The 10866-nt window shown below is 36.9% G+C and overlaps 1 protein-coding gene and 1 pseudogene across 9 annotated transcripts in view; both read right to left on the reverse strand.

The window, feature by feature from the left end:
- The window catches only part of COL11A1 (collagen type XI alpha 1 chain), a 232050-nt gene extending 221626 nt beyond the window's left edge, over positions 1-10424 (reverse strand). For all 9 annotated transcript variants that reach the window (NR_134980.2, XR_007085257.1, NM_001190709.2 and 6 more), the window contains exon 1: positions 9975-10424. Coding sequence is in view for 7 of the 9 variants with exons in the window: in NM_001190709.2 (NP_001177638.1) it covers positions 9975-10080 (106 nt within the window). In the remaining 2 variants the exon portion in view is untranslated. The remainder of the gene's footprint in view (positions 1-9974) is intronic.
- SOD2P1 (superoxide dismutase 2 pseudogene 1) lies at positions 2042-2609 on the reverse strand (annotated as a pseudogene).

Consider the following 10866-nt stretch of genomic DNA (forward strand, 5'->3'; position numbering starts at 1 on the left):
TTATACTTCCAATATAACCATTTGACTTTAATACTGAGAAGAGCAATATTTATTGGCATTTAGTTTATTACATGCTCTGGAGAGAAGGATTAAAAGAAAGCATTTTCTATATTGTAATTAGTTGATCTCCTCAACTCAGTTATTGCAGAGCCACTACTGCTTAGCAATAGCATATTTATCAAATAATTTGTACATTATGATGAATAGCCTTTCACTCGACTTCCAGTGCCTAGTTATACAAGCCAGATACATTTCTATTTATTTATATATTGGTTTCCTGTTACAGAAGGTTTGTAAACCCCTGCTTCTGCATCAACATTATCTATGAAACTTTATAAAGCATCTATGCTTTGATGTCATACAAAATCTATTTCATCAAAATTTCCAGCGTTAGGATTGGAAATAATTATGATACTAAGCCACGGACCCCAGTCCTCTTGACTTTATTGAAAATATCTTGCTTATGAGTTCATTCATTCAAAAAATATTTACTGGCTATCTATTTTCCTCTAGATATGGTGACAGATGCCAGAATGTTTTGCATCAGTGAAAAAGATGTATTTCCTGCTTTCATTATACCATCAAAAATATTTTGAGATAAGTATTTGAGTTTTGGATAAGTATAGTGTGCTTTATAATGTTATGCCAGGCTAACTACCCCAATCTTCAATGCTTGAAGAAAGTTATTTCTAGAGGGAGACAATATCTAAATCTCAAGCAAAGAGGATTTTTACTTTCAGAAATAACAAAGTGGGAGAGTGCTTAGGGTAGAGGTCATAGGTTGGCCTAGAACCAAAATAGAGACTGATAGTCTCAGGAAATCACAATAATATCAGCAGAAATTGGTTCAAGATACTTCCATAGACATTGAGAGTAGGTGATACACATAGCTATATATCACATCTCAGGTGGTTAGGTTATGGACAATCAAGTCATTAGCAATGTCAACAACGCCCTCACTTCATTCAGCAAAGTTTTACCAAATGCCTACTATGTGGTGGATTCTGTTCTAGATGCTTTCTGTTCTAGATGGATTCTGTTCTAGATGAAATAAATCAGATAAACATACCTATACCAGTGATTTTAGTGTAACTAAAATATACCATGGATAGCAATATAGTATAAAAACTATGTAACTATATTCCAAAAGAATTTTACAACTATTGTCTATTAATCTTATTAAGCATTTTGAAGCTCTATATATTTCTTGTTTGGAGATGGTACTTCATAATATAATAATTCCAATATACATAAAACATATAATTTACTTTCTAACTTGAAGAATGAGTTTATTGAAATAAACATAAAGCACTTTATTTATACACACATGCACATGTACCCACACACATCCATACATTATATATATGGATATATATATATATATTATATATGGATAAACTGCTATTTCTAATAGCTAATAAGCAAAGTCAGACAACTAATCCCCAATAGCATACCAATCTGAGATGAAAGGTTCAATAATGAATATATGAGAGGACTATTTCCAATGATCGATTTTACAGATTGATATTATTCTCAGATTAAACTTTCTTGTTCACTAGTAGAAAAGTAAAATGATGATTTATGCTACGGTCAATACCACTACATATCTTAAGGTATTAACAAAACAAAGTTTTGGAGGTAATATAGTCACTCTGTAGCTACAAATATTCAGTGGCACCTTTGGAGAGAATGCAGAACTGTTTTCCATATGAAAAAGCTAGAGGTAAATTGAAATTTATTTACTTTTAGCAAATGAATTTAAAAAAGAGGAGTCACTACTCATGTCACTACCAACAGCATAATCTGAGGAGGTCCTCAAACTTTCAGTTCACACCATTCCAAGCTAACTCAATTTTAATCTTGTTCCAGTCTTCTGGGTAAAAAAAGAATATAATTAACCTAAATAGTTACTATATCAATGCTGTGTATTTTGTCACCATGGTAGACACTGGGGACACAAATAAAACTAGATCACAGTCACTACCCACCCAGGAACTCCTAGAAGAAGACTGACATAAGTGAGTAATTTTTAAAATAATGATGTTACATTCTCTCAGTTGATTACACTCCAAAAAAGCTTTTGGATAATCAACTCTGACATTTTTTATGCTGAAGACAGTTAAGAGAACTTCCATACACCAATCCCCAAAAGTAGAATAAGTCCTGATGACCTTTATAATGGATCCTGATTAGGACAAGCAATGATCTATAAGAGTTCTTTTACTTAATGAAACCAAGCCAACCACAACTGGAACTTTGAATACTAACAGATACATCTGTCAGCTTCTCCTTAAGTTAATCAAAGGAACAAAACTAATATTTGATGGCTCCCAGAAACTCCCCTTTCAATCCTCCACTACCACTGAGGCTGAGGTTTGTCCATAAAATGGTAAGAGTAATATGGTCTCTACCACTGAACTTAAGTGCAGGCTGAAGAGCTATCTGGATTCTAACATCACCTTTTACCAGAACCTCTTTTTATTTCTCCTTGAAGGCAGTCAAGTTATTCACCCAATGACCTGGTATTTTCTGTGGTTTAGCTGCATGATGTGTACATTAATATTAGGCCCCAGGGCACCATAATAATAAGATAAGCCTAGGAGGCTGTATAGAAGCATTAGAACACCCAGCAAAGTCAACATGGACAAGTGGCCAAAAGCAAGGGCCTTGGAGAAAGCTTGGCAGCATTCAAATTCTGGGTCTACTACTTACTAGCTGTGTGACTTTAGGCAAAATCTTTCACTTCTCTGTTTTTCAGTTATCTCATGGGTAAAATCAGTATTTTGATATCAGCTTACTTCCAGGAAAACTGTCTCAATTAAATAAGATTCTCTATGAAAGTGCATATGACAGAACCTTGTACATACTGAGCATGTATTTGGTATTAGGGCTCACCTGGAGATATAAGGAAAAGTTTTCTGGAGCTATGATATTTTACTTAAATTTCGAAGTATAAAGTAGGAGAAGGTGTTTGCTGATGGAAGAGAATGAGATAGACATTCCAGGGTGAGTGTTCAAAGATAGGGGAGAACACAGGCAAGAGGTTTAACATCACTAAAGTGCAAGGTAAATGGAAATGGGCTTGGGGAGGTGGGAAATGGCTGGTCTTGAGCCTGGACATAAAGATATGCCACATCCTGAAGGGCACTCTAACCCAATTAGACAACAAACTTATCCTAAAAGCCAGTGAAATAATTGAAGTTTCATTTGCATGCAAAAGGAAGAGTAACAGTCAGCAGTAGGTTGAGCTCCACTCTTAGACTCTAAAGACAGAAGTAAAGGAAAGACAGACACCACTTCAATATTTACATTTTTTTCTTTCTGTGCAGAGCTACCTAAGAGCACCAAGTATGAAAATGCACTAGAGTTCTTATTAGCAAGCTACTGCTCTTTCTGGCAGTCATCCTTTCAGGGAGTCTATGTGAAAATCTGAGTGAGGAAGGAAAGCCAACTACCTCACACAGTCTAAGGTTCACTCCTTTAAGCCCGGATGTCAGTTTACCAGTCAAACAGAGGAAGGAAGCTTCCCCTGATACTCTGTGCACTCAAGTTCTATGAATAGGGAGCTTCATTTGCCTGTACAGTACAGAGCCATTCAAGAGCAATTAAATTTGGTTAAAATAAGAAAGAAATGCTTTTTAAGAAAAAAAAAAAAGAAGATTTGAGGGGATTGCAAAAGTTAATTGTGCTAAAGCACTTTTACACAGGTTTGTTTTAGTTCTCAATTGTCAAGTCGTATTTAAGCTGGTCTCTTACTCTGAAATATGATAACCTTTCCTTTCTCTAAGTTCTTTCTCCTAAATTAATAGCACTGTCTCTAATTCCATGCGCAGCAAGCAAAGAGTTTATTTTACCAGATAACAGTAGGTCTGGTGATCAGCCAATGTCTAAAGAACCACTAGCCAAGTTAGTAGTAGGCCAAAGACTGCAACTGATAAATAGATATTACTCACTAAATCACTTTAAAATTGTCTTTCATCTTTGCTACAAGCTAGTATTATTCATGTTGAGTTCTGACACAAGTGAACATATAAAAGAATACACTTACCTATATCAATAAAACCATATTAGGGTTTTGAAGGAAGGAGAAAGAAATACATTAGATGCATTCTAAAACAGAAAGTATTTTAAAATGGAAAAAAAATACCTTTAGGTTTTGAATTAAATTGCAAGAGAATTTAGAAGGAATATGTCCTCATGTAGAAAGTGCGTTAGTGTATACTGAAAGCTACACTGAAAACTGCATTTAAAGTTGACTCTTTAGTGAAAGAACTTAGGGAACATTGCAACTTTTTATAACATCAGCGTTTATCTCTCTTCTTTGCTAAGGAACAAAACTTGAATGGTCAAAAAAGAAAAAGTTTGGTTTCCTCTCACCACTCCCAACTCAGGTCACATTTCCCCAGTATTACATGAGGGAAGTGAAGGAGTAAAAGCAGAAATGCTGACCAACGCTCAGTCCCCACTTGCAGTTGCCTTGAATTCCTAATGATCACGCCATCCATGCTTGATTACTTCTCCAAAAGTAAGGAGAAAATAAAAGTGTATCTAATAAAATTCTGGCTTTTAAATACCTAAACATAATCATTAAAAATTGTATACAATGATGGAGATATCTCAGCATTTTTTAAACTCCATATTTACATAAAATGGTATAGTTAATTGTGAGTATAAAAACTCATGATAAATGCTTTCACAGTATAATCTTCAGGACCCTATGGCCATGTATTGCTTTTCCCTAAAAACAGAAAGACTCTTAATTTGGTGGGAATACTAGTTGAAGACTGGACTTCTAGAAATAAATTTTGAGATAGAAAATCAAAATTTTCCTCCCTTACATCCCTGCAATTTCACATGTGGTAATTAAATTTGTAATAGTTGTTGACAACACAACAGATATCATGGTAGCCTACTAAGAGTGACTACTTCCTATACATTAACTGCCCATTTATGCCTAAGCTAACAGATACTTATGTAATTTCAGATACTTTGACAATCCAAAATAAAAACCTTTATTAGAATTTGCACTACTACGTTCTCTCCTATTTTTTTCTTCAGTTTGCCACTTGTTTAAAAAAAAACTGTTAAACAAACAACACACAAGTGTGTCATAATGATTATCTGACATTAATAAAAGTCATACTATATGTATACATAAAATATATGTCATCCAATCAATTGAAATTAACCTGAAAATATCAGAAATTTGCCATTTTTTATTTGAAATAAATATATAATTTTCTAAGCTTCTTAGAAATTCAAAGTTGGACCTAGTCTTCTATTAACAACTTTAGAGAGCATACAAAACTATGTTCTTAATCCAGCAATGAATAGAGTATTACGCCTTCTACTTTGATGTAATCTTATAAAATGACATAATTAAGAATACAAATGATCAAAAATTACCTTTCTTCAAAGGTAGTAAATAGAGTATTTAAAAAATTCATTCTGTAACTATTTTCTATTTAAATTTCTTTATATAAGACATTTTCACTATATCTACCTTCTCACTAATCTAAACTCTAGCAAATATATGGTCTAATAATTTCAGACTTCTGGAAATAAATATAGCGATAATATATCGAATTCTTTCTCTTTTACTTCCTTGTAATTTCACATATGGTAATTAAATTTGTAATAGTTGTTGATTGCACAACAGATATCATGGTAGTCCATTGAGAGTGAGTACTTCCCATAAATTAAATGTCAATTTTTTCCTGAGCTAAAAGGTACTTACATTAGTTTCAGGTGTTTTGACAATCCAAAATAAAACTTTAATTAGAACTTGCACTACTAAGTTCTCTCCTCTCATTCCATTGTCTCAGACTTCTATTATTTAAAATTCTTTTGATCACCATTACAGATCTTCACTCTACTCAGAAAAACCTTGAATATTACAAGAATATTTTTTATGAGGAAGAGTATTCAGCTGACAACTTTTTGTGTCTTAGTTTCCTCATTTATTGAGAAGGTAAGATTGATTAGCAATTTCTATAATTTCTAGTGCTAGCATTCTCTTTTAAAAATCTTATATAAACACCTTTTTTTAACCTTTTAAAAATTCAGCTTGTATTACACAGAGACTCTCAACCAAACTTGATTTAAATCCTTGTTATCATGAAATAGCCAGCATCTCACTAAATTAATCAGAGTGAAGAGAATTTATCCTAGGAAAAAGCAAATTTTTAGAAAAGAAAGGTGACTCTTTATACAATTTTCTTAGCTAGAAAGCCAACCCATAAATTTGAAAAGAGATGTTTGCTTTGCTGTATTTTAAGGATAACTTAACATGAACAACCATGTGGTTCTATTTTAGTCACAAATTGAAGAAAATAAAAAACCGAAAAAATATTAATTTTTTACCAATTATGTTATGCAAATACATTTCTCACTTTGCTACTGCATAACTTTGTTTAAAACTATACAAATACCTTTTAGAGAATAACTTCTATAAAGTATCCCCTCAGTTAAGTATTAATTATGAAGCAAATTGTCACTTTAAGATATTAAGAAACTTAATTTCAAAACTAATGGACAACTAGGTAAAAGAATCTGTGCCACCTAAACTGAAGCTATGTGTGTAAAGCATGCAGAAAGGTGTTTCTCTTTAGTCTATATTCTTTCTCTATTATAGTCCTGATCAATTTTGAATTTAAAAAACAAATGGAAAGACATAATATTAATGAGTTTAGCAAACACTGCATTTCTTATCAGAAGCATATCTGAGTTTCTGATTTCTGATTAAGGAACCAAATGGACAAATTCGATCTCTTTGCACTGTTGGACTAGCACATACTCTGGAAGCCAGGACCATTTCACCTGCTGATCCTGGGCACTCAAAACTACACTTCTTCAGGGCTCACTATCGATTCCTGACAAGCTTCCAAAGTTCCCAGTTTGATCAGCCTTTTACAAGATACAGTATTGGCTTAACTGCCAAAGGTTAAATGTAATTTTAATTAGTAAAAAGTGATTCAATTAGATTTTTTTTTTTTAGTGCTTCATTATAGCTAAGTCTAACTCTTACTTAAAACCCTTACATAAACTCATCTATCTTAAGATAATCATAGTGTGGTCACTATGAATTCCAGGTAAACCCCACCTCCTGTGAATAGTAAGTAATGGACTAACTGCCAAAGAATATCAATAAATCGCTGAGATACATCATTTACTTTAAAAATAAACATATATATGAAACATAAAATTGAAGTTAATGTAAATAAATATTTATAAAAATCACACTTAACCTTGTTATTCTAAATCACAGCAAGGATTGATTTTTAATGAGTATAATAAATATTTCCAAGTTATAGTTTGATTTTTCAAAGTAAAATAATATGACTAGGTATGAAGTCATAAATTTTCTTTAATCCATTCACTTCCAAGAAATTTCTCTATATTATTTTCTTTAGAGTCTAACTTTGTTTTGAACTCAGATGTTTTAAGGTTTTAATGTTTTAATTTTATATAAAAGTAGTATCTGTTTTAAATTATCTTTGTGCTTAATATCCAAATCTTATCACTGTACCTCAATGAAATCAATGTCATAGTATGATGCTGGGATATAATATCTTTATTTAGAAATTGGTATAAAATCTTACTTCAACCACAAATCTAAAGGTTATTATCAGAAGTGGACACTGGGTTTATTTTTCCCTTGTGTGGTGATTCAGGATTTGTAGCCAATGTTTTCTTTTTAAGCATTAATATACTATTATTCCCTTTTTGAAGTTAATTAAGGGATAAGAATGCCTACAAAAGTGGATTTATGTTAATATGTGGCCTCCCAGGAAAAATGAGCACTAAACAGCTTGATAAAACACATAACAAAATCTTAAAATATAAATATCTAAACTACCACTTAACTTTCAGGGCATTTCATGAAGAAGAAACCCAACAAAATCTAATCCTTATACTTTGCTATTTCTATCATTACTTGGCTTCATAAAAATAGGGAAAGTTGTTTTCCCACCATTTATTTGATGTGGTACTGGGATGCTGTTTAAAAGTGTTTCAGGTATGTTGCTAGACTGAAAATAGAAAATTTATGCATGAAAAGTACAGAAATTTGATATTAAAAAATATTCACATATCGCCACAGAAAGGCTCAATGTGGAAAATAAAAATAAATAGCTTCAGTAAAATAATCCCTGAATCCATGCAAAAGTGTCTCTCGGAGCTTGTATTTCATCCATCACCGAAGAAATTCTCAGTTCCTATAATTTTCAATAAATAGCTGCCATTACAATATTCTCATTTACATGCGTGTGTGACATGCTGAAAAAGAAATGGCATATCCATTTTTCCTTAATCAAAGGTCCTTTTCCAGTACCACTGTAGTTAAGAGGGACTTACAGAGGCCTCATGTCCCACGGTAGACGCAGGAATTCTAAATAATAAACAAAACCAGCAGAGGGCAGAACTGCTGACAGAATTGACCAATCCAACCGGTGACCAGGTACCAAAAGTAAAATACAAACTTTTTGATGGATTTCACTTTCAAAGACACTCTTATCTATCCTTGAAAATGTGGAAATGAATGAATCAACATAATTAATCAACATAATAACTCCTTTCAAAATTCAAATATAGTCCTAATAGGACTTTCACTGTATTTAGCAGGAAAAGTCACCCAAGGGAATAATCTAGCGCTGCCTGCTACTCGGGAAGCTGAAAGCCACTAAGCGTGTGGAAGGAATAACCTGGTCTCAGAGATCGGCCTCCGGGAGGGCTGACTCTCATTAGGGAGAGCTCAGATCTTGGCATCTAGACCCAGGGCCACACTCAAGTTTCTGCTAAAGCCTACGCATTTGGGCTTGACCATTTTTATCTCCCTTGACCCAACCTCGTCAGTCACCCTCCTTCCTATCCCCCAGCTTCTTTCTGCACTCCTCACAAAGCTTGCTTTCTACTCTAAGCTGTCTGGGCTCCCTGACCTCCAAAGGCTTTCGCCTGCCAGTCGATTCTAAGGCACCTAACGGACCGCTCCAGCCAGATGCCTTTTCGGGAAAGGGCGGGGGAAAGAGGGAGGGAGAAGGCGGAGGGGAGGAGTGAAGTCGCTCTCCCTCCGTGGGTACTGACAGGGTTGCAGACTTCCGAGCAGGTCTGGCCATTGAATATTTGGTGGTGCCACGTAGGAACTGTTCCTTACCTCTCTCCTCCCACCCTACCCACACCCCCTCCCCTTCCCTCCCAATCCCTAGTCCTCCGCCCCCACCCCATTTGCTTGGCGACTTTCATCATTCTCCAAGAGAACTGCACGTCCAACCTGCAAGAAGAAGCGGAGGGGTGGGGTGGGGGGAGTCACTGAAATTCAGGGGAAAGTGTTCTCCCTATCTTGAACCTATTCCTAATAATCTGCCAATTTTTGTCCACTTAAAATAGATTGACCCTCCCCCGCCCCCCAAACACACAGAGTGTTCCTAATCTTCTAGATTCACCCCCCTGGTTTCTCTTATATCCCCAAAACTAAAACAGCCTGCTTCTCACTTGGTTGCAGACAAAGAACTTTATCAAGGTTCATTTTATACCCTTTATATTTTCTCCTCAGCTCACCCTTAAAAAGATATTCCCATTAGTTAGAATCTGAAGAAACCAGATGTGTTCCAAGGGCAGTCTAAAGACTGTGCCTCAAACAAAAGCTTTGTATAACTGCCCTTGTGTTCAAGGTAATATTTTTCCTCTTTTCAAAGAGGCTGGAAAGTGGTGAAGGGCATTTTCAGCAGGCTCTCCTCCTGACAGATCTTTTTTTCCTGCTACCTACCTCGTCTCCCTTTATTGTCCCGCCTACATTCATCTCTTTCTCCAGTTTCCAATTCCAACCTGGTAGCAGCTACAATCTGGATTGTATTTAAGGGAATTGCTTTTTTTTTTTTTTCTTGAAGAGCGGGGAGGAAGGGTAAAGTGGGGGGAGGGGCGCAGAAGCAGTAGGACCGACGGCAATCTCCCACCTCCCCAAATCCATTTTTTCTTACCTCCTCTGACCTCTCTAGCTTGGAAGAGGAAGGTCAATGCGAGGGTTGTTACGGTGAAATCCCAGAGCCACCGTTTCGTTTTCCACCTAGAGGACCACGGCTCCATCTCCGAGCCCCGCACTCACAACTGTGAACTCAACCCACGAAATTGCGACTGCAGACCAACTTCGTCCTTTCCAAGGTATCGCCAGGGATGTTTGCTACACAGCCATTGGGGAGGGAGAGGGGGAAAAAGTCAAAGGGCTTTTTCTTCTAAATTTGATGGTTTGCGTTCTTCGTGTCTCTAGCCCTTTCCTCTCCCTCTGAGTTGGCCCCACCGGCCGGGACCCTCCGGCCGCGACCCTCTGATCCTTCCTCTGCCGGGCCCTGCCTTCAGAATGAAGGCAGATGAGGGGCTTCCACCAACAAGCTGAGAGTACTGTGTGCCCCTAAAGGCTTCATGCCGTCAGTGGGCTGGACGAGTGGCTCCGGGCAGCCCCCTCCTCCGCCCACTCCCCTCCCTGCTCCCAGCTCCCCCTCCCAGGGCGAAACTGACAAGCAGGCTGAGGGTCAGACCCAATCACACGACTCTGGGGCGGCCCCAAGCCCGCCCCCGCCTCCCTCAGCCCAAGAATGAGGACTCCGAGCAGGCCCAGCCCACCAACCACCCCCCATCTCCCCACTCCTCTCCTCCCTCCTCGCCTACCAAATCCCCGAGAAAAAATGGGAGGGAGTTACGGGGGACGCGTGCTTGGCTCCAGCACTTTGGGAATGAAAGGAATTGCAGGAGAGCCCCGGAGCACACGGAGTTTTCAAGGAGCTTCTGTATTCAATAAAAACAGCTACTTGTCTACTTGCACCCGTCTGTTAGCCTCTCGCTGGTCGGCGGGAGAGGGGAGGAGGCCAGCGCCTG

The sequence above is a fragment of the Homo sapiens genome, chromosome 1 (assembly GCF_000001405.40).
Source record: "Homo sapiens chromosome 1, GRCh38.p14 Primary Assembly".
NCBI classification, from domain to species: Eukaryota; Metazoa; Chordata; class Mammalia; order Primates; family Hominidae; genus Homo; species Homo sapiens.